Source organism: Homo sapiens, chromosome X (assembly GCF_000001405.40).
Source record: "Homo sapiens chromosome X, GRCh38.p14 Primary Assembly".
In the NCBI taxonomy this organism is placed as follows: Eukaryota; Metazoa; Chordata; class Mammalia; order Primates; family Hominidae; genus Homo; species Homo sapiens.
Window position 1 is genome coordinate 52,322,916 of NC_000023.11, and position 24,611 is coordinate 52,347,526.

The window sequence follows — 24,611 nt, forward strand, 5'->3', positions numbered from 1 at the left end:
GAGTGGGGGAAGGGGGGAGGGATAGCATTAGGAGATATACCTAATGTTAAATGACGAGTTAATGGGTGCAGCACACCAACATGGCACATGTATACATATGTAACAAACCCGCATGTTGTGCACATGTACCCTAAAACTTAAAGTATAATAATAAAAAATACAATAAAAAAAGACTTTAGAGGATTTGAACAACTCAAAAAAAGAGAAACTTTTGTATATCTGTCCAATCATTTCATGAAAAGTTTTTTATAAGTAATATGTCTGGATCGTATAGATTTTACACTGAAATTGTGATGCAATGCATATTCTTAGCCTGGATTCCAATCTCGCCAGAAGTGTATGAAGGTAACTGATATCCCTTATCCTCTCCAACATTATTTGATTATTTGCTTAATTAGTTTTAGTATCTTTTCCAGGGGTAGGATTAAAAAGGAAGTAAAGCAAGTCTCAACCTTTATATGACAATCTTGCTCTGGATAATAATTTTCTCTTGTTAAATAAAAGAACTATAACTGAAGCTTTCTTTCTCTTCAGTCTTTATATCATGATATATCACTAAATCAAACATGCCTTTGTCCTGATCCTCCAGAACAAGCCAGTAAAATGTTCTGATTTTTTGTACCTGTTCCCTAAGAAAGGCCTCATGGCACAGATATGAAGAGTTCTGGCTTTGGGGATAGGAAGATCTGAAGCAGAATTTCCAGCTCCATCACTTACTAACTGTTTTTTAGGCAAGTTACTGTAGCTCTGGGTGCCTCAGTTTTGCTGTACACATCTGAGGGGTAAGAGGAGTGAGAGACATAGACAAATTTTGAGCCCTGGTCAGAGACTTGAACATGGCTCCTATGACTTCATCCATTCTGTGAAGATGAGACCACAAGACCCATCCCTACTGCCCCTGCTCTCTTCAGTATGGGAAATGGAAGGATACAGACAGCCTAGTTACAGGCTAGGAGGTACCATTAACCACGGGCCTGCATAAGTCACACATCAGTGAGGAGATGAAGGGTGCCAGGACCCCTGAAAATCTCATTTAGCTTAGCAGCACTCAGTGGTGTTCTGGACCCAGATCATATCAAGTCACAAAAGCTGATCTCTAAATACCCCAGGAATTTTTCAAACCATTTATGAAATTGTCAACAACTTGAAATCTGCGATGATGGAAGTATTTACACCACAGACATTAGCTAGCAAATGCTACACATCAGTGTCATCCTTCCACACCCCATTACCTCACCAGTACTTTTCTTTTTGTTTATACTTTCAATGTACATGCTTCACTTTATCCTTAGTTAAGTTGTACTAAGAAGAGGTAAAATAATATGCTGCAAAGTTATGGAGCTAATCCTCATAGCTTATTTTGTAGTCATCCGTACCAACAGTGGAGTCCCAGCTTTTCAATGAACATTGTAGGAACAGGCACAACCCTGAGTGGGTTTAACAAATCTATTGAGGAGCCAAAGGGGATGGATGAGGCTTGTCAAATTCTCTGAGATGGTCCCCAGGGTCAGCAGACAACTGATCCATATCTCCCTGGTGATGAGAAAGGACCAGAAATGAACCCCTTGACAGAGCTAGGGTAACTTAGTTAAGATACATTTTTTATATAGCAGAAAACATGACTAAATAGGTTTAATCTATGATGAAAAATTATCTCATATAACAAAAAGTCCATAAGTATGATGGTTTCAGGCATGATTAATTTCATAGTTCTATGACACTGTAAAGTAACAAACTCTGTATTTTTGGGCTTCTGTCCTTACTGGATAGGCTTCTCCTCAGCCAGGATCTCCTCGTGTTACCAAAATTGTGGCTACAATTCCAGGCACCATATTCAGACACAATGACATTCAGTGGAAAACAAGGGCCTGACACTTGCTATGTGGATTCTATTATGAGCAAGGAAACCTCCTGAAATGCCAGAAATTAGATTGCACTTCCAGTCAGCTCATTCTGAACCTGAATAAAATATTGTTCTATTTGTGGAATTTATTACGAATTCCCATGTTCCACCCAGTAAAAATATAAAGATTATTAGCTACGCTCTTCCATCCAGATTTAACCTTTGTTGGATGAGTAGGAATTTTTGATGTGTGGTTTCATACTTGATTATTACCCCTTACTAATGTCTGATATTTAACTATCACTCTAGATACATAAAATAGTATCCTAAATTATGTTAGGTCCTGGGATTCAAGGGGGGAAAAGATACATATGACCCCTGCCCTCAAGGAACTCCTACTCTGTTAGGAAAGATTCCATAAAATAAGCACTGACAAGAAACTGTGATAAGTGCTTTGTATTAAGGAGAAGGCAATTGTATGGATTTTGTCTGCACATGACAGGAAATAATCTAACTTCAAGAAGGCAGACAAAGCCTCCTAGAGAAATATAAGTGTAACTTGAAAGATGGAGATTAAGTAGCAATTAGCCAGATGGAGAGGGAAAGCATCCTACACAGAGGGAACAACATGGGTGAGGTTATGAAAATCAGAGAGAAAATGGGCCATCTGATGAACAGAAAGTTGTTCAGATTGGCTGGAACATAGCATGTAGGATACTGTTTCATGATACTGCCTGAAATATAGTAGGCTTCTTTGAATATATATTGGGTTAATTAATCTTTTTAATGACCCTGATTGGAAAAACATCCCCTTAAGTCTTGGATGAGTACTGAAGGGTTATTTGTGTAGGCACCAGTCTGTAACAATTCCTCAGTCTTTCCAGCATGCCACATTATATTTAGATGTCATGTCGCCTCAGTCTTCTAGAATCAGCCATTTATCCCAGAAGCCCTGGTTCTTTTTATTAGAGAATGGTATAAAGAAACCAAGACCTGGGTGTCAGGTGTGCTCATTGCAGCTAATGGTATAAAATTCACAAGATACAGCATAATAATTAGAAAACTAGTAGACCTTTGGCTTCCATGCTTTCAGGAGGGGAGCAAGCCTGGACCAAGGAAGCCACTTTAATATGACTTTCACTGTATGTTCAATTATTAACATGCTTCACTGTTGTTGGTATAATTTCTATTTGGGGTAGAAAGATGTTTTCTACCATAAAAAAATACAAAGCGTTTTTGTGACCCTCCCTGTTCTTTCTTTTACCTCCACCACTTTTTTTTGCAGTTTAACAACTTTTGGCTGCGGTCTTTTCCTCACTAATTTCAAGTAATTTGAGAACGTCAAGCTTCAATTTCCTGTCCAGCCCTGAAGATCCAATAAGAGCTTCAAGCTGGGACTGTAACTTCATGGATCCACCACAGAGAGTCACTCCAACTTTGAATTCTGATTCATCTCTGATTCCAACCAAAGAAATGCCCCAGAAAGTTACATCAACCTCCCAAACATCCTTCCCTGAAATGCAAAACCTGGGCCCAATTAACTTCAACCATGGTCCTTGTAGCAACTACGTCAACCCTCAGCCAGAGGGGCTGCTCCAACTGCAGTATGAAGATGAGATGACCCAACAAGAGAGGCAATGGGAAAGGTCAGCATTCCCTGAGAAGAAAAAGATATTCATGGAGAACATAAGACAGAAAATCCTCAATCCCATGGCACCTTACTGGGCTGAAGGGAAAGTAAAAATCTCTTCCTCATATGATAAAGATAAAAATAAATGTAAATATCTTTACTGCCAGATCTATAGGGAGGATAATTCTAGGAGCCCTAGTGGGTAGAATCCATCCTCTTGGAAAACGCTAGTGCAGGGCCTTAACCACTTGACCTTCAGCCCTGGTACCATACAGACCTGTCATCTACCAGAGGAGCTGCTCAAGAGAAGTAAAGAGAGAAGAGCCATCATGAGAGCCAGAAGAAAGGCAAAAGAGCCTAGGCTCCTAAAATGACAGTCGAAATAAATCCAAGACTCTAATCCTCGTGATTAGATCAGAATTGATTCAGATGTGTGAATATTGATTTTAGCCAGTTGCTTGGGTGGAAATTTTTGGGAACTATACAATTAGGAATGGTCATTAGAAGCAGCAAGAACCAGTATTTTGACAAAAAAAAATTGTATCAGTATGAGATTTGATCTAGTTCTAGGAAAGCAACGATCATTTTCCCAGTAATTTTAGAGTTAATCTGGGAAATACTGGGATGATCTACTCTGCGGCAAGGAAGATGGGTAAACAATGGTTCTTTTTATTATTATTATTATACTTTAAGTTCTAGGGCACATGTGCACAATGTGCAGGTTTGTTACATAGGTATACATGTGCCATGTTGGTTTGCTGCACCCATCAACTCATCATTTACATTAGGTATTTCTCCTAATGCTATCCCTCCCCCAGACCCCACCCCCCGACAGGCCCCAGTGTGTGATGTTCCCCGCTCTGTGTCCAAGTGTTCTCATAAACAATGCTTCTTAACTTATTATTTAGTTTTTATGATAGGACCTGTCTTTCTTCTCCTTAGATCTCTTTTTCCCCATCCTGTTTCCAGTAAGGTATAAAGGATATGTGTAGTGTAAATGTCTTGCTGGTTTTGAAATGTTTTTGTTCAGTCTCATGGATTGACCAAAAGGAAAAAAAAAGCAAAAACACAATGTCTGATGAAATTTATTTGTGTTTTGGAATTCTGAGGTTAATAAAAAGATGAGATCCACTTTTAAAGTTTTGAATCAAAAGAATGTGTGACAAAAGGATGTGTGAATAGAATTTGTGGGCTTCACATTGAATTGTTTGGATAAACTACTTTTCATGAGGCACGTATAGGAAAAAATTTTTTTTTTGAAACGGAGTTTCACTCTTGTTGCCCAGGCTGGAGTGCAGTGGCACGATCTCGGCTCACTGTAACCTCTGCCTCCCGAGTTCAAGAGATTGTCCTGCCTCAGTCTCCCGAGTAGCTGGGATTACAGGCACCTGCCACCATGCCCAGCTAATTTTAGCATTTTTTAGTAGAGACGGGGTTTCACCATGTTGGCCAAGCTGGTCTTGAACTCATGAGCTCAGGTTATCCACCATTACAAAGTGCTGGGATTACAGGCATGAGCCACTGCACCCCCGGCCAGGAAAATATTTTTATGCTCCTTTATAATTGTTAAACACCTCCCTGAAGAAATTTCCAATGTGTTGTCTCAATTGTCAACAACAATACCTGTGTATTTTTATTTAATATTACTTGGATGGTAGTTTGTCAAGGGGAACTACTTGCAGATTAGAATAGGGATGTAGGAAAGGGACCTTTGAAAACATTTGCATTACTCTTTATGGTACCATAATCAGGGCAGCATGTGAAGTAGCCATTGGATGGTCCAACTCCCGCTTTGTGATAGCAGTGGGAAGCAGTACCCTGCCCACCATGTAAGCATATGCGTGTTGTGCAGCTGCCACGGATTTAGGTGTTCCACAATAGATTCTTCCCTCTCAGGTGCCCCAGCACTCTCATGCTTGCTATTGGCGCGGGGGCCCAGAGCATTATTATGTTGTTTTTACTTCTGCCAGTTGTGTGACCAACAGTATATATGCGTTTTCTTTTCATAATATGAAATTGATTGTGCTAATTTCTTTCCTATAGAGCCCTCTGAGAGTTATCCCACCACAGGTCATAATATTCTGCTGATGGGAAAATAAGTTTGGCTCTGGGGAAATCTGCTTTCTTAGGCAATCTTCAGTGGTGCAATAGAGCAAAAACTCCATAATGTTTTCACACATAAACACTTGAGGACATACAAATTAATATGGACTGGATCCTAGGCTTGTGATTTCATCAGAGTATGAGAGTTAAAGTAATCCTGTATTGTTTATACCACAATTCAAGAGGACAGTGTAAAAAATTGCATATTTTATACATTTGAAAGGTCATGGCCTAATTTCATTATGTAAAATGTGATATGTTTTCAGAGAAATATAATAGTTTTCTTATGACTCTGGCAATATTCCAAATACATATAGGTGCATGTACATTTAAAGATACAACCAGCTTGGAACTGATTAAAATCAAGGCAGGTTTTTGGGGGAGAAAACATTGACAAACAATACAACCTTATTCTTCAAGATTGAGTTTGCTATTCTAGGTTCTTTGCATTTATATATAAGTTTTAGAAGAAGTATGGCTGGATGTCTTAAAATATTAGGGTCCCCCAGAGAAACAGAACAAATGTGCATATATATATATACACACACACACACACTCATATATGTATATATACACACACTATCTATCTATACACACACACACACAAACATATAGAAAGAGAGAAAAGACAAAGGAAGACTTTTATTTTTAAGGAATTGGCTCACATGATTGTAGAGGCTACCAAGTCCAAAATCTGTGGCATCCAAAATCTGTGGGATAGGCTGGTACTCTGGAGACTCAGGGAAGAGTTTATATTGCAGATCAAGCTTGAAGACAGTCTGGGGGCAAAATTCTCTCTTCCTCAGGGGACTCCAGCTTATTTACTCCCAAGGTCTTCAACTGATTGGATGAGGCCTGCATTACGGAGAGTAGTATGCTTTTCTCAATATCTACTGATTTAAACATTAATCTGATCTAAAAAAATAGTGTCCCAGCAACACCTAGATTGGTATTTGATCAAATATCTAGATACCATGGCTTAGCCAACTTGACACGTAAAATTAAGTATTACAAGTCCACCTTTTGTCAATTTGGCACCCAAATACATATCTTTAAACCATTCCTAATCTCCAAGTAAATATAATAATGAGGTTGTGCTTCCACCTAACAAGATACAAGTATCCTATGTAAAACCAAAAGCGCACTAACCCTTTCCCCAGATAAGGATGCACTTGGGTGATGTTGACTCTTCTCCATGATATCCTGTAACTTAAATACTACAATGTAAAGTCAATAAATCTCATATGATAAGGGGATAAAAGATAGAAAAAAAGCTATTTGTTTAACGTGTATATAGGCACAACCTCCATCCCTGTGCATATACACACATACATTTCATGACAAAATAAAGAAGAAATACTCAATTGTAGTCCTTGTTTGTAAAACTGGTCACATGATCATACCTGGTATTTATAACTACCTTCTTCCACTATCCATTCCTTAAGTCCTTTCGCCCTCTGCAAGCACTTCAGCTAATTGTATTTCTTACCTGGTGGGGTGACCCAAACCTTCATTCCTAAATTCTCCCGGCCATTAGTAGTCCTACCTGCATTACTGGGTTGTTGTTGTGTCCCATTGATCTTAATCACAAGGCATGGTAATATTAAGAGACACCCTAAGAAATCTCCTATTTTCTGGACATTCTGTTCCTTACCTCCATTGTGGAGGAGCAGTCCAGTTTCCCCCTTGGTAGTCAGGATCAATCACCTCGGCCAGCACAGAAACTCCCTTATTTGCTTGTTGATTCAGAGACATGAGGAAACCAAAATGGCTAGTTGGCAATTTTAACTTCCAGTTCAATGGAATCATTGTGGTGTCTCCTGGTAGAAACATTCCTCCCTTTGGAACTAAGACCTCTAGGCCAGCATAGCATAAAGACATAGAAACGAGAAGCAAAAAGTTTGCTAGTGGATCACTAGGAGTAATAGTGAGTAGTGTCACTCTCATTTCCATCCCTTGATTCCTGGACTTGTGAATCCTGGCTATGGGAGAAACAACACCACATGCTGGACACTGATTCAGAGCATATACAGCCTTGTGGAGAACTTTGCCACAGCCTTGCAAGTATTGCCACCTAGCTGGCACTGTAACTGAGTCTTTAAAAGGGCATTCCACAGTCTTACCAAGCCAGCTACTTCAGGATGGTCAGGAACATGGTAAGACCAATAAATTTTAAGAGCATGGGCCCTTTGCCACTGCTGTAAATTGAGTTCCTTGATCAGAAGCAATGTCATATGGAATAGCACAATGGTGGATTAAGCATTCTGTAAATTCATAGATGGTAGTTTTGACAGAGCATTACCTGCAGGGAAGGTAAATCCTTGTTCAGAGTGTCTAATACAATAAGAACAAAACATTACACTTTCCATGATGGAAGCAGTCGAATCTAATCAACCTGCTACCAGGTAGCTGGATGATCACCCTAGAGAATGGTGCTATATCCTGGACTGAATGTTGGTCTCTGCTGCTTGTAGGTTGGGCACTCAGCAGTGGCCGTGGCCAGGTTGACCTTGGTGAGTGGAAGTCCATGTTGCTGAGCCCGTGCATAACCTGCATCCCTGCAACCATGGGCACTTTACTCATAGGCACATTGAGCAATGATGGGGTGGCTGCGGAAGGAGGCTGAGTGGTGTCCATAGAACAGATAATCTTATCCCCTTGATTATTAAAATCCTCCTCTGCTGAGGTCACCCTTTGGTGAGCATTCACATGAGAAGCAAATATTTTCACATTTTTCACCTATTCAGAGAGGTCTATCCACATACCTCTTCCCCATACTTCCTTGTCACCAATTTTCCAATCATATTTTTTCCAAGCGCCTGACCACTCAGCTAAACCATTGTCCACAGCCCATCAACTGGTACCTAGTCACATGTCCAGCCATTTCTCTTTCTAAGCAAAATAAGCAACCAGGTGCACTGCTTGAAGTTCTGCCCACTGGGAAGATTTCCCTTCACCACTGCCCTTCAGAGATGTCTCAGAAAGGGACGATAATTCTGCAGCTCTTCACTTTCAGGTGGTTCCTGCATATCATGCAGAACCATCCGTAAAGCAGGGCCAAGTTTTCTCTTCCTCTGTCAACCGCCTGTGCCACTGGTCTGCACAGATCCACGAAGAGACTTGTTTCCAGATCAAAGCTGAAAGAGAAAAGAGTAAAAGAAAAGTTATAATTCAACCTGTACCAGTCACTTTTCCATGGGTTCACTCTCTGGTATAAGGCATCTGCTTCTGCTTACTTTTCAGATTCCTCAGGTAAGTGTTTTTGTTTTTGATTTTGTTTTTTTGTTTTGTTTTGTTTATGTTTTGTTTTGTTTTTTTGGTGTTTTTTTTTTTCATTTGGTCTAGAATCTTTAGTTATAATCAGTGGGAGAGATAGGCAGTACTATGCCAACTCCATGGTGGCCAAAAGTGGAACTCCTGATTGGGTTGCTTTTATAGACTTTAGTTTTTAGAGCAGTTTTAGGTCCACAGTAAAATTGAACAGAAGACACAGAGATTTTCCATATGCCTCTGCCCCGACACATGCATAGCCTTCCCAATTATCAATATCCCTCACCAGAATAGTGCATTTGTTACAATTGATGAACCTACATTGATATATCACTATCATCCAAAGCCCATAGTGTACATTAGGGTTCACTCTTGGTGTCATGCATTATATGGGTTTGGACAAATGTATAATGACATGTTTCCACCATTATAGTATCACATACAGTAGTCTCGTTGCCCTAAATAATTCCTCTGTGCGTTGTGTATTTATTCCTGCCTCCCTCCAACCCCTAGCAACCACCAATCCTTTTACTATCTTCATAGTTTTGCCTTTTCCAGAATGTCACGTCGTTGGAATCACACAGTATGTGGTCTTTTCAGATTGGCTTTTTTTCACTTAGTAATATGCATTTAAGGTTCATCTGTGTCTTTTCATGTCCTGATAGCTTGTTTCTTTTTGGCTCTGAATAATAAATAATTGTCTGGGTGTACCACAGTGTACCCATTCACCTACAGAAAGACATATTGATTGCTTCCATGCTTTGGCAATTATTAATAAAGCTGCTTTATACATCCATGTGCAAGTTTTTGTGTGGACATAAGTTTTAACTCATTCAGGTAAATAGCAAGGAGTGTGATTGCTGGATCATATGGTAAGAGTATGTTTAGTCTTGTGAAAAAAACAAAACAAAACAAAACCTGCCAAACTGCTTTCCAACATTGCTATACCATTTTGCATTCCCATCAACAATAAATGGGAGTTCTTATTGCTCCACACCCACATCTTCCTCAGTATTTAATGTTGTACATGTTTTGGATTTTGGCCATTCTATGTAAAAGTATATTATTGTTGTTTTAACTTACAACCTCCTAGTGATGTTAAGTATCTTTTCATATACTTATTTGCCATTTGTATTACTTCTTTGTGAGGTGTCTCTTCAGGTTTTTGCCCATTTATTATTGGGTTGTTCATTTTTATATTGTTGAATTTTAAGAGTTCTGTGTGTGTATATATATATATATATAGAGAGAGAGAGAGAGAGAGAGAGAGATGGAGTTTTGCTCTTGTTGCCCAGGCTGGGCATACATATATATATATATATATATATATATATATATATATATATATATATATATATATATATATATGTATGTATAATTAATTTTAATTAAGTTTAATTAATTAAAGTCTTAATTTTAATTAAGTTCAGTTGATCAATTCTTTCTTTCATAGATCATGTCTTTGGTGTTATATCTAAAAAGTCATCACCATACCCAATGTCATATAGATTTTCTCCTATGTTTTCTTCAGGGCGTTTTATAGTTTTTATAGTTTTTCATTTTACATTTATGTCTATGATATATTTTGAGTTAATTTTTGTGTCTGGATTCTTTTTTTTTCATATGTCAATGTAGAGTCTTTCACCACCATTTGTTGAGAAGACTATCTTTTCTCCACTATATTGCCTTTGCTCCTTTGTCAAAGATCAGTTGACTATATTTATATGAGTCTATTTCTGGGCTCTATATTCTGTTCTATTGCTCTACTTATCTATTCTTTCACCAGTACCATGCCATGTTGATTACTGTAGCTTTATAGTAAGTCTTGAAGTAGAATAGTGTCAGTTCTCCAATTTTGTTCTTCTCCTTCAATATTGATTTGGATATTCATGGTGTTTTGTTTCTCCATATAAACTTTAGAATCAGTTTTTTGGTATCCACAAAATAACCTGTTGGGATTTTCATTACGATTGTGTTGAATCTATACATTAAGTTTGGAAGAACTAACATCTTGACAATATAGACCCTTCCTATCCATAAACATAAAGTATCTCTTTATTTATTTCTTCTGTGATTTATTCTATCAGATATTTGTACTTTTTCCCATATAGATCTTGTACATATTTGGTTAGATTTATACCACTTTCACCTGTTTATTGCTGGTATATAGGACAGTGATTAAATTTTGTATATTAACCTTGTATCCTGCAACCTTGTTACTTATTAATAGTTCCAGGATGGTTTATTGTCTATTGTTTTTCGAATTTTCTACATAGACAGTCATGTAATCTGCAAACATAGACAGTTTTATTTCTTCCTCCCCACTCTGTATACCTTTTATTTCATTTTCTTGTCTTATTGCATTAGCTTGTACTTCCAATATGATGTTGAAAATGAGTGGTGAGAGGGGACTTGCTTGCTTTTTTTCCTGATATTAGCAGGAAAGCTTCTAGTGTCTCACCATTAAGAATAATGTAAGCTGTAGGGTTTCTACAGATGTTCTTTATCAAGCTGAAGAAGTTCCCCTCTGTTTCTAGCTGTATTAGAGTTTTAATCATAAGTAGATGTTGGATTTTGTCTACACTTTTTCTGCATCTATTGATATGATCTTGTGATTTTTCTTTAGCCTGTTTCCTCACTGTATTTTATGGAGTGTACAATTGAATTGGAAGTTATAACAAGTTGGTGGTCTGAGTGCAATAGATTCTGCTTGGAGTTATAAGTCACTCAAATGATGATTTTATTGAAAATTAATGTGTTATTAAAAAGCGGCAGTGGAGGGCTTCACTGAAGACCAGAAATTATGAGCAACAATTGAAACATGGAAAAAAATATATAATCTGCTACAATACTAATATCTGTAGATGTAATGAGCATGGTCATGTGACTACTGACACTCCTACTCATCTTAATAGGTACAAATCCTTGGTCTTCTAAGGCACCACAAAAAGTAACACTGGAAATGAACATTACTGAGTATTTAGTATGTGCTGGGAACACTTTAATACCTTGATTTGTTTAATCTCCCAACAGTATCTTGTGAGGTAGATGACTCCAAAGCAAAAGACCACTTACTTGTGCTGCCTGCCTATTTTATACAGATCCCTCTGTAACATTGTCATTACCAAGGGAAGACCAGGGGTCTGAATCCTAGCTGAATCTATCATCCCTGCAGTGGTTGTTACCATTAAAAAGTCTGCACTGAAAGATCTCAGGCTTCCCTCTATTATGCCAATCACACAAATACCTTTATATCAGCAAAGAAACTCTCACAGACACTGCACAATCTTGTTTAAGTCCATCCATCCATCTCTCCATCCAGCCATGCATGCAATCATGACTCTATCCATCTATCCATCCAAGAAATATACTTTAAGAGCTTCAATAGGCCATACTCCATTAAAAAGCCTCAGCATCATTCTATAAGGCAGATCAACGGACTCTCTAAAGGGACCTTCTTCCTAATTTTAACACTATGGTTCTCTGTGACCTCCTCCGGGCCCGAATGCCACCTTTAGGCATTGTGTGACATGTTTATCACCAGCTCATAAATAAAAGCTTGCAGTTGCATGATGCTTTTAATGCATCTATTTGGCTGCCGAATCACTGGAATTCTCCTCACTGACCAACATCCGAGCACTAGAAAATATACAAATGATGTAAATGCCACATACCCACTTGAGTAGTGCTTCTTAACTCAATATGCATCACACAGCAGGAAGAATAATAACTAAAGTTTTGCTTGAAAAAGTACAATTTGGGGATGAATTCTCATATGTAGGTTAAGACTTCCGTGTATTGGACCACCATCTCTCCATCTATTCATTCATTTCCTAATATCAGTGAGTACATTTCCGTCCCTATTTATCTAGGTCTATCTTCTTTTTTGGACCTAAGCTACTATAAATGAAAAGCAACATGTTCAACCCACCTCTTACTCTGGTGTTCAAGAGTTGTCATTTCAGCATCCGCTGAACTCAAGAGCAACTACACAAGATAACAAAATCAGAAGAGCCAGCAATGTAATATTACAGTTTTTAGTTTTCATTTTATTTTTTTAATTTTCATTTTTATTTTAAGTTCTGGGGTACATGTACAGGATGTGCAGGTTCGTTACATAGGTAAACGTGTGACACGGTGGTTTGCTGCACCTATCAACCCATCACCTAGGTATTAAGCCTATGGTGATTCCTCACTGATCTAGAACCAGAAATACCATATGACCCAGCAATCCCATTACTGGGTATATACCAAAAGGAATATAAATCATTCTATTACAAAGATACATGCACGCGTATGTTCACTGCAGCACTATTATGACTTTTTAAAAGAAATGGGGCTTCATCTCTCAGGTGAGACAGATTTAGTATAGAGTTTACTCTAAATAAATAGTTGTGCATGAGGCTCTAACTGTAATGCAAATGTCAAAATCAGCCTTGAAAGAAAGGGTAGGTAATAATTTTTAAAAGACAAATCTTGCCTCTTCATCTTTCATGATCTACCATGTGCCTACATTCCCGCCTCATCCCAGGCGTCCCCAATGTACACATTTGGGACTTATGCCACAGTCACTGTGATCCTCTAGGGAGCAATGAGTGCTCCTGAGTACACATGTGTACACGTGTCTCTGCATGTTCAAGGACCCTTGTGACAAACACATCTATTGAGAGTCACGATTCCATGTCTGTGGGTGGCCTCCCTTGATACATCCTGTCTTAGTTTCCACTCCTTTGTTTGTTATTCTCTGGAGTCAGATGGATTAGGCTTCAGATTCTCAGGTAACCAACTATGGATCTGAGCTGAGTGACCCAGTGCCGATAAGAAGAATGTTGCCAAAACAACAGAATCCATACCCCTTTCCAGTACCGAGGCCCTCCTCCCTCCCCCTGCCTGCTTGGATCTCAGGTGAGAATGGGAATGTGATGTGGCTAAGAGTGAGGGGATAGATATGTGGTAGAGGGTTCGAGGAGAGAGGTGAAATCTTGGGGTCCCCACAGAAGGGACTAGGGGAGGGACCAGAGATGCCAAGAAAGCCTGCTCCTGGGCACTGAGACCCTAGGAGATGACTATGAAAGTGCAGTGGTTCTAACATGTGGTTCTATGAATTTCCCCAGCAGTACACAGAGCTGCGAACATTTTCTGACTCTAAGCTCCAGGGCTCAGACCATGGGAAATGAGGCCTGTGTTGGCAAAGGGCAGTGGAGCCTGGAATCACTAGTGGAGGGCAGCTGCAAGCCTTGAGGAGGCCCTGCTCACCTCAGCAATAACTCTCATCAGTAACTCCACTCTGTGTGTCTCTCTTCTGGTCTTCTCTTTCTGTGCTCTGTTGTCAGGGTCAATATATAGCAGGTTAAAATTGTCCTGGGTTAAAGGAGAAGAAGAGGCAAGGATGTCCCAATCCCCTCTTCCACTGACTGATAAGACAGTGGGCAGAGGGGGAGCTGGAAGAGATGGTATGCAGAGACCACAAATTAATTCGTGCTTCTCAGACCAGACGGGGGTCTGGTGCATTTACTTGCTAAGGCTGATTTGATTTTCATTATGAGTGCATAACCTCTGTACTGGACAGTAAGGTGAGAAAATACTGGAGTTATGTCTAATCTGGTGTCAGCTGATGCTATCATGTGAATGGTCCATTTGTATAAATGCTCAGCCTGTTTTGCTGAAAATGATCAGTCTCTCAGATTTCCACCCCACCTCCCTACTCCTTTCCAAGACGATTAATGGTGTGTATGGCTTTCGAGTCTTCATGGTGATATGGGAAGGGGCCTATGACATCTTATGTTGACTGCAGTGTCCTTAGTTGTTTATGAGGGAAGGCTCAATCTTCTCTCTCAGGTTCTGCTGACGATGCTGATTTGCTCACCCATTTCTCTGGCTGGTGTAACTTGCATTTTTGTCTCTCTCATTTTGGTCAGGATCTGGTGCTCCCTGGCTGACTCAGCCTCAGCCCACCTGTGCTGGCATCAGCAGACCCCTCTGAATCGGGGCCTCATCCTCCTTCCCACATCTGGGCAGGGCTGTCCATAGCACAGCCTCAGCTGCAGGGTCACCTAGCACCTATCTGGGTTATGCTTGCTTCATGGTAACACTCCTGGCTCTTGAATCAGCCACTTCCACATTCCCTTCTCAGAGAATGTAGCGCCCTGCAGGAACAAAGATCAGCTCCAAAAACTGAAATTCTTGAACTCCAGCCATTTCTCTAACCAAGGATCTTGCTATTTATTTCTGCAGAAGTAAACTGAGTCCTAAATTTCAGCTGGGCAAAAAATCTCTTTATTTGGGACTCCCTTCCACTTCTCTGACACACCTGTCACATGTAAGATAAGGCCCATAGAAGAGAGACTGTGATGAGAGTCTCTTACCTCCATCTGACACTGTCTCCATGCCTTCTACACCCCCAAGGCTGGAACAGAACACTCTTTTATTTTCTTTATCTTTCATGTTGACATAAGGATTCCCATAGTAAATCCAGATCATAAAGGGAAGTCTTTAGGATTTGTACTTTCTCTTGTAGAATTCAAATTCATTTGAAATGTTTGAAGGAAATTGACTAACAGATAAAGAAACTCAAAATGGAAGGGATTACCAAATACAAGTCAATACATCATCAGTAGCAGGGCAAGCTCTCTGTAAAAATAAACTTGGAGTTCAAAGGGAGTTGTATTAGTCAGGGTTCTCTAGAGGGACAAAACTAATAGAATATATATATATATATATATGTGTGTATATATATATATATGTGTATGTATATATATATATATGTGTATATATATATATATATATATATACACATATATATATGAGTTTATTAAGTAGTATTAACTCACACAATCACAAGGTCCCACAATAGGCCATCTGCAAGCTAAGGAGCAAGGAAGCCAGTCCAAGTCCCAAAGCTGAAGATCTTGGAGTCCAATGTTTGACGGCAGGAAGCATCCAGCATGGGAGAAAGGCGTAGGTTGCGAGGCTGAGACAGTCTATTCTCTTTATGTTTTTCTGCCTGCTTTATATCCTAGTCATAGTGGCAGCTGATTAGATGGTGCCCACCCAGATTGAGGGTGGTTCTGCCTTTCCCAGCCCACTGACTCAAATGTTAATCTCCTTTGGCAACACCCTCACAGACACACCCAGGATCGATATTTTGCATCCTTCAATCCAATCAAGTTGACACTCACTATTAACCGTCACAGGAGTCATCATGCTTTAAAAGGGGCTTACAAGGTGTGGCATCAGCATTTTCAATATGTGTGTCCAGAGAGCGTCACTTAAGCAAGCTATCCCCAGCATTGTCTGATAACTTCTGAGACTACTTGAGAATCAGAGACAAACTATCCTGAAGCTTGTGGTGTGTTTGTGGAGTTACGGGGGCAAGCTCAGGTGTATGTTCATGTCTGTATTATTTCTGAAACTTTATGGAGGCCTACATGACCTTTTCATTAGCTAACATCTTCCTCTTTTTCCCTCAAATTTATTGTATATGCCATGTAAAACATCAGTAAAATAATTTTATGATTAAGAAGAAAAACAAGGCAGGGCAAAGTATTCCTATGGCTTTACTATACATAACCAGAAATCTACAGGAGTTATTGTGGGGAACATACGCATTGCAAAATTTCTTGCAGAGTTGAAGAGAGATTCTTCAGTCATGCCTCCACCCTGGCAAGGAAGCATAAAGTCGCAAGTGATTCTTTATTAAGTATTAAACAGATATTTGTGTAATCTCTCGTAATAGCTATTTGGTAGTCTTATATAAGTTGGTAATTTAGCACTGAACCAGGGAGCAGCAGAAGACCAACCAATAAATGAATAAATAAGTCCAGATTGCGATCAGTGTTAGGAAGCAAATACTTTAGGTGCTAGTCTACAAACTCACTACTTTAAACAGGACAGTCAGAGAAAGCTTCTCTGAGCAGAAACCCTAAGATTTATAAGGATACTGCTGTATGATGGGAAAATGGAAGAAACAACCCGGGGGAGAGTGTAGAATGAGAAGGGGAACTGGCTAAACTTCATGCCGAAAGGAAGAGCAAGCAATGGGCAATGGCTAGTGAGAAAGAGTGGAGTGACCAATATGGTTGGAGGTACACCAGGAGAGGTATTTTCACAAATCTAAAATTTAAAATATAGCATAAAAAGAGAGAGGAGAGAAAGCAGGGAGGGAGGGAGGAGAGTAGGCTTTGAGAAGGAGGGAGGTGTCAAATGTACTGAAGGCATTTGGACATATAGTATAAAAGGATGAGGACGTGATCATAGGGTTAGGCAATATGAAGGCCATTGGTGCCTTTAACCAAAGCATTTTTCTGTTGGGAGGTGAGCAGATAGAAGCTGCATTTAAGTGGTTTGTGATGATAATGGTTATAGAACAAGGGAAGACACATTTGCTGCTTGGAGCATCAGGGAAATGTGTCATTACCTTGGAGAAATATGGGATAAGGAACGGGTTTCTGTTTTATTACATTTTGTATAAAATGTCAGAAACAAGAGCATGTTTGTAGATGACAGAAGAATCCAGAATAAATAAAGAATGTGACAATTCAGGAAAAAGTGATAATTACTACAAAAGCCTCTACCTTGAGAAAGTAGAGGGCATAGGATTCAGGTGAAGGGCTGGCCTCAAGTAGGATCCTGTCACTTCCTCCAGTGGGGCAGCTGAGATTACAAGTGCAGGCCCACTGCTGTTGGGAAGTGGTGAGAGTTTCTCTCCAATTGCTCCTGTTTTCTCAGGGGAATATCAAGGAATATCATGAGAAGAGTTGGTGCTAGTCCTTGTGGAGGTTATTGTAGGAAGAGGAGAGAGAAGATACACTTGTGGAGGGTGCACATCGTTTGTCTACTTGTTTGGTGGCGGGGGGGGCGGGGGTTGCCAGGAGAGTAGGAGGAGGGAAAATGAAGAGATGCGTTTGAGGAGCGAGAGTTAATAGCTTTGAGTAAGCTGGGTAAGGAAGGTGAATGGTAAGGAATGCCGTTGGGGTCAGTGGACAGGAGGCCTCCTTGAGGCTGAAGGCTATGGATGTTGGGCCATTGGAAGGAGGGAGCTGTTAGGATTGGATTGGGTGTTGCCCATGGTGAGAGTGGGGGATGCAAGAAATGGACATCGTGGAGCAGCTTGGTCTTTCCCGAGGCCCAGGGCACGACCACAGATAGAGGAGACGTAGGTGGGCAGGAGATCCCCTGAAGATTGGAGAGGCTCTGGTCATGGCCTGGTCAGTCTAGGGGGTGCTGAGGTTACCAGGAAGGATCGGCAGAGTGAGGCCCTTAACAAACAACTCACAAAACTGTCAAAATAGTTTCCTCAAATCGGAATCATTTTTTTTTTTAGACGGAGTCTCACTCTGTCACCCAGGCTGGAGTGCAGTGGTGCGATCTTGTCTCACTGCAACCTCCACCTCCCAGGTTCAAGTGATCCTCGTGTCTCAGCCTCCCAAGTATCTGGGACTACAGGCATGAGCCACCACGCCAGGCTAATTTTTTGTATTTTTAGTAGGGACAGGGTTTCGCCATTTTGGCCAGGCTGGTCTCCAACTCCTGACCTCAGGTGATCCTCTCACCTTGGCCTTCCAAAGTGCTGGGATTACAGGCGTGAACCACCATGCCCAGCCAAGAAACCTTTGGTTGTAAGGTTTCTGGATTTTCTGGACACCTATATCCAGGATGAGAAACATTGTCACATTTCAAAATTTAAGATGGGAAGTGATTGCAGTCTGGACCTGACCTGCCAATCTGATCAGTGTCCAAAGATGCAGTAAGAAATTGGTCTGATGTGATTAACAATGAATTTGTCCACACCAGCCTCCTGTGAACCTAGCTTCCTTCTTGTCTATGAACATAGTGTTTATGTGACCTTCAGTCTCTCCCCTACAGTTGCAGTCACCCCATCCTCCTGTAAATTATACAGCCTCCTTTGATGCCACTTGTGGATATCTCACTGAGGAGTATTTACTTCATGACTTCTGAAACCAACCACAGAGTGAGTCATAATTAATCACAGAATGAGAGTACTGCCCATCTTGTTCTCAAATATTGGAGTCTATCTCCCCTCAGACCAAATCAACACTCATTATTATAGTGTCCAGGACACTATGAGTTTTGAAGCCTGGCAGACATGCAGACATATTTTCAAAGCCTAGGGAAACTGTCTTCTCAAGACTCAATAGAAATCATAATCAATAAAATGATTCCAATACCCTCCTTGGAGAGAATCTATGCATCTTAGTGATGTGTTTAAAGTGTCTGGCTCCCAATCACCCTTTAAGAAGGATTTCGTGAGCTATGTTCTAGGTGTAGAGGATACAACAGGTAACAAAACCGAAAGAGACTCTGACACAATAGAAGTTATCAGTAAATACATAGCATATCACAGGGCAGCAAGTGCTAGGTAGAAAGTTAAGACAGGAGCTGGGCGCGGTGGCTCATGCCTGTAATCCCAACACTTTGGGAGGCCGAGGCTGGTGGATCGCCTGAGGTCAGGAGTTCGAGACCAGCCTGCCAATATGGTGAAACTCCATCTCTACTAAAAATACAAAAGATTGGCTGGGCATGGTGGTGGGCGCTTGTAATCCCAGCTGCCAGGGAGGCTGAGGCAGGAGAACTACTTGAACCCTGGAGGCGGGGGTTGCAGCGTGTCGAGATTGCGCCATTGCACTCAAGCCTTGGTGACAAAAGCGAAACTCCATCTTAGAAAAAAAAAAGTTAAGACAGGGTCAGGTAAATGGGTAAATGGGCAGGATGTTGTTATTTTATTCAGGATGTGTGGGGAAGGCATCCCTGAAGAGGTGATGACTGAGCAGAGACCTGGAGGCAGTGAGGAGCAGGCCTTGCAATTACCTGAGGGAAGAGCATTCCAGGCAGAAGGAACAGCAAGTGCAACAGCCCTGGAGCAGGGGAAGCACCTGGTGGGTCCGGGATCTCAAGGATGTGTGATGGTAAAGAAAGGCTCATCCAAGGTTTTGACATGTGGCACTCATTGACAGGTGCCTGGTGTCCCCATCTCTATTTCTCCCACAACCTGAGAGGGAGATGGGGTTCTCCCATGTCACAGATGAAGGACCTGAGGCTCAGAGAAGTGCCCTGAGCCTGCTCTCCTGCTCACACCTGAAATTCCTAAAAGAGGGATGACCTTCTGTTGCACCACAGGAGACATAGGGCTTGAGCCCACAGCTGGGGGGAAGGTGCCATCCACACTGAAAGTCAGCCAGCCAGCCAGTAGAAATTATTAATGATAATATGGGAACCATGGCCAGCATGACATTTCTACTTCCAATGGGAAGGCAGGACTTTAGGAATGAGAAAGGAACTGGGATGGAAGAGAGAGGCAGAAAGGGGAAGGTGGGGGACAGTGAGGAAAAACACACTGATTGAGAAGGGACCCTGGGGACTTCTGGGATGATGATCAACCTTGAACTATGTGGTTGTTACATGAATGTACAGCTTATAAAACATAGACTTATGTTTCATACACTCTCGGGCACAGACACACACAAAAACCCTCATAAGTGAAGCAGAGTGCAGTGGGAAGTGGGAGTAGCGTGAGTGTCCTTGACTCCTGCACACAGGCTCGCAGCGCCCCGGCCTCCTGGTGTGGACCACGCAGTGTAGGCAGCCTCCTTCCTGCAGAACCTCCCCTGGGCTCCAGGTCTTGCCTTCTATCCTGGAGGCTCCAGAGGCTCCCTCAGGCCTGTTTGTGGAGATTGTCTGGTGGGAAATCCTCTATCCTGTGCTCCTGATGCCAGCCATGGAGCAGGAACACCACCTCTCAGGGGATGGACAGGACCTGCCCATTTTGTCCTCAGATGTTGGGATCCATCTCCCCTCAGGCCTCATTTACACCCACAATAGCCCAGGACACGTGGGCTTTGGGGCCTGGCAGGCTTCATAGAAGCCTGGAACCCCAAGCCCTGGTGGTGTGACTTTGGGCAAGTCACCTGTCCTTGACCAGCCTCAGTTCCCCATTCATAAAGGAGGCTAATGCCCGCCAAGCAGGGTAGGTGCAGGTTTTGGGGAAAACATGTGTACTGCCCTCCTCCCGAGCCCATGTTAGATGGGTCTAGTAGTTGAGGCAGGGTAGGAGCAGGGGCTGGAGTGACATTGGCAGGGACTAAATTGCCCCGGATCAGACGGTGGGCAAGTGGCTTCAGCTCTCTCTGCCTCCCTTTGCTCGTCTGTCATCAGGGTACTAACTTTCCCTCCTCACAGGGTTATGTGAAGGAGAGGTGAGACAACTGGTCAGTCACCGAGAGCAGTGCTGGGCACAGGGCAAGGCTGAGTACAGGCCCACTGTCATCTCCCTGGCTGGAATAGGTTCTAGCAATAATGACATGGATGTGTTTAGGGGGCCACTATTCTGCCTACCACATACCCTCTTCCTTGGCAAGCCTTGATGATAACTGTCATTGTCCCCATACTGGGGCCACAGAGGTAGACAGATGGACCTTAGCCTCCAAGAGAGTGAGTGCCCACCCTGTAGAGGAGAACAGCATGTCGCAGGCAGTTCACAGAGTGATGCCTTTTATATCACTATTGTGATGGTTAGTTTTAGGTGTCTGCTTGACGGGGTTAAGAAAAACCCAAATAGCTGGCAAACCATTATCTCTGGGTGTGTCTGTGAGGGTGTTTCTGGCCTTTGAATCTGTGAACTGATGGAGGAAGATCGGCGTGGGTGGGCATTGTCCGATCCCTCGAGGGCACAGGTACAACAAGAAGGCGGAGGAAAGGGGAATTTGTTGTCTTCTGGAGTTGGGACACCCCGTCTTCTCCTGCCTTTGGACATAAGAACTCCAGGTTTTCAAGCCTTCAGACTCCACGAGTTATGCCTCTGGCTCTTCTGGTTCTCGGGCCTTTAGACTCAGACTGAATCACACCATCCACCTTCTTGGCTCTCCAGCTTGTAGACGGAGATGGCGGGACCTCTCAGCCTCCACAGTCATGTGAGCCAATTCCCATAACAAGTCTCCTCTTATATATCTATAGCTAGGTATCCTATTGGTTCTATTTCTCTGGAGAACTCTGACTAATACAACCATCCATACGAATACTATCAGCATTCACCTCACCATGATTCTGTACCAGACACTGGCTGACCACCTAACATGAATCATGCTTTTCTCACCCAACTCCGCGACTGTCAACTCTACTTCTATCACCCATTCACAGGTGAGGGCCTTCTGTATTCTCATCAGCCCCATCTCTGAGCACAGTCCTTTGCAGAGGTTTTCCCAGTTCTCCTCTTCCTTCTCCTCCTCCTTGTGACCAGGGCTAGCATCTTTTTTCTTTTTTTCTTTTTTTTTTTTTGAGACAGTCTCACTCTGTTGCCCACTCTGGAATGTAGTGGTGTGATCTCAGTTCAAACCTGCACCTCCTGGGTTCAAGCGATTCTCCTGCCTCAGTCTCCTGAGTAGCTGAGATTACAGACACATGCCACCACACCTGGCTAATTTTTGTATTTTTAGTAGAGAGAGGGTTTTGCCATGATGGCCAGGCTGGTCTTGAACTCCTGACCTCAAGTGGTCCACCTCCCTTGGCTTCCCAAAGTGCTGGGATTACAGGCATGAGCTACCACGCTTGGCCAGAGCTAGCATCTTAGTCTCACAGTGGCCCCTGCTCTCTAGGTCCTCAGCCCTTAGCCCTGCTGTCACCCACCCACATCCTACAACCCCTCCACTCCCTCTTCTCCGTGTCTGTTGTCCAGGGTGAGACCAAGTCCAAACCTGAGCTTCCTGCTAAGTCAAAGTGACCTTTTCCTTTCAGTCAGGGAAGCCTGACTGAAGCCTGTGGTCCCACGGTGAGGTCTTGGTGTCTCTAGGCACAGTGCATCCATGTTGCAGTGATACCCACCTTTGCCAGCAGGGGGCATCTCATCTCCAAGACTGGAAAAACCTCAGAGAAGACAGAGGAACAGTCTTAAACATTCACTCCTGGCCAGGCTCAGGCCTGTAATCCTAACACTTTGGGAGGCTGAGGTGGGTGGATTACAAGGTCAGAAGATCGAGATCACCCTGGCCAACACTGTGAAACCTCGTCTCTACTAAAAATACAAAAAAAAAAAAAAAGTAGCCAGTCGTGGTGGCCTTTAATCCCAGCTACTCAGGAGGCTGAGGCAGGAGAATCACTTGAACCCAGGAGGTGGAGGTTGCAGTGAGCTGAGATCACACCACTGCACTCCAGCCTGGGTGACAGAGTGAGACTCTGTTTCAAAACAAACAAACAAACAAAAACATTCATGACTGGTGGGGTCACAGGCCTCAGGGTGCATGAACTCCAGGCTGGGTGTCCCTTGGAGCCTCCCTCTCTGCATGTGGACAGGTAGGGGCAGCCAAGGGCCAGGTTTTAGTGCTGTTCGGGGTCATCTGCAGATGGCTTTTCACTCCTTCCTACTCCCTTTCCTTGTACCAGAAGCTCATTTCCATGGCTAAAGGAAAATTCTCATATAATTTTATCTTCCTTTTCTTATTTAATGATTGCATCATATGCTTTCTTCTACAAGATGCACTGGCTCAGAGGCCTGTGCCCAGGGCAGATCAGGCTATAGGTTGGCTAGTCCTGAGGGCACCGGCCTGAATCCTGAAGGCACTGGGGACAGGCCCCAACAGAGCCTGGGGCTCAGGAAAAGGCCACCAACCTCCTAGCCAGATCCTGGCCAACTGCCAGCTCTGCCTCCACCCAGTCATCTCCCAGGGCCTGAACTCTGGGTCTAGAAGCTCCAGGACTGGTGGTCTGGGGGAGATACGGGCTGGAAGGATCCCTCGGAAGAGGAGGCAGCAGACAATCTCTGTACAGCTTGAGAGGGTGCACAGCTATAGGGTGAGGCCCGGCCCACCCAGCACAGATCCACTGACCTGCTGTGCAGCTGCAGGCCCAGCTGCTTCCCTCTACCGACCTCAGTCTCCTCACCTGTGCAATGGGCATCATTCAGCCCCAACATGCAGGGGATGCTCGTGAATGGAAGGGAGCTGAGGCATTGAGAAAGCAGATTTGCCCCAAGAGAAGGAAGAGTGGGTCAAGGTTGGTGGGGAAGGATGGATGAGGCCACCTCGGGGAAAGCCAGGGGCTGCCTTCCTGGAAGTGCTCAGGGCAGTCAGGTGGGGCAATTTCTGAGGCAGTGAGCAAGAACTGTGGGCTGGGGACCAGGTGAGGTTGTCTCTATAGTGTTCTGGGGTGGCCAGCCGCTGTGTCACTGTTTCTTCCTGTTTGTCCTCACCCCTGCCCATGGGGAGCCTAGAGATGAGCCCAGTGAGCTCACTGTGAGTCACTGTGACCCACATGCAGTCATTAGAGCCATGCATCATCATCACAACAGCCACCAGGTTAACACTTGGGTAATTTATCCAAATAATGACTCACCTGTTCTGACCTGATTTGGATGATATGCCATCATTTAGTGTAGCCATAGTTTATTCAGTCATTCTCCTATTGGATCGTTAATTAGTGTTTGATTTACTTTTTGACCATCCAGACCTGTAATGAGAATTCTTGTACATGCAGTGATGTTCATAGAGTAACCCTACTTGTAATAGCTAAAAACTGGAAACAACCCAATTACACACCAATAAGAAGTCACATAAATAAATTCTGCCAGATTCACACTATGAATTACTGCACAGCTATGAGAAGGAATGAGCTAGACCATGCAGAGACATAACATTAGGTGAAAGAAGTCAAATACAAAAGAGGACACGCTATGTGATTCCCTTTCTACATGGCTCAAAAGCAAATAACAATAGTGTTTAGGCATACATATGCCTATATTATAACAATTTTACAGACAGC

General features: G+C 42.5%; 1 non-coding gene and 1 pseudogene across 1 annotated transcript, besides 1 other annotated feature; one reads left to right on the top strand and one right to left on the bottom strand.

The window, feature by feature from the left end:
- On the top strand, positions 3,251-3,775 carry LOC100421603 (family with sequence similarity 156 member A pseudogene; annotated as a pseudogene).
- MIR8088 (microRNA 8088) lies at positions 13,642-13,727 on the bottom strand. Its single transcript, NR_107055.1, has one exon. It is a non-coding gene; the product is annotated as a microRNA 8088 (primary transcript).
- Positions 23,412-24,611: an enhancer, noted in NCBI's record as "P300/CBP strongly-dependent group 1 enhancer chrX:52089469-52090668 (GRCh37/hg19 assembly coordinates)". NCBI's record gives its function as "activates an origin of replication core promoter dependent on BRD2, BRD4, P300/CBP, MED14 and CDK7 cofactors, with strong dependence on P300/CBP, by STARR-seq in HCT116 cells {active_cell/tissue: HCT116}" and the evidence as "EXISTENCE:reporter gene assay evidence [ECO:0000049][PMID:35650434]".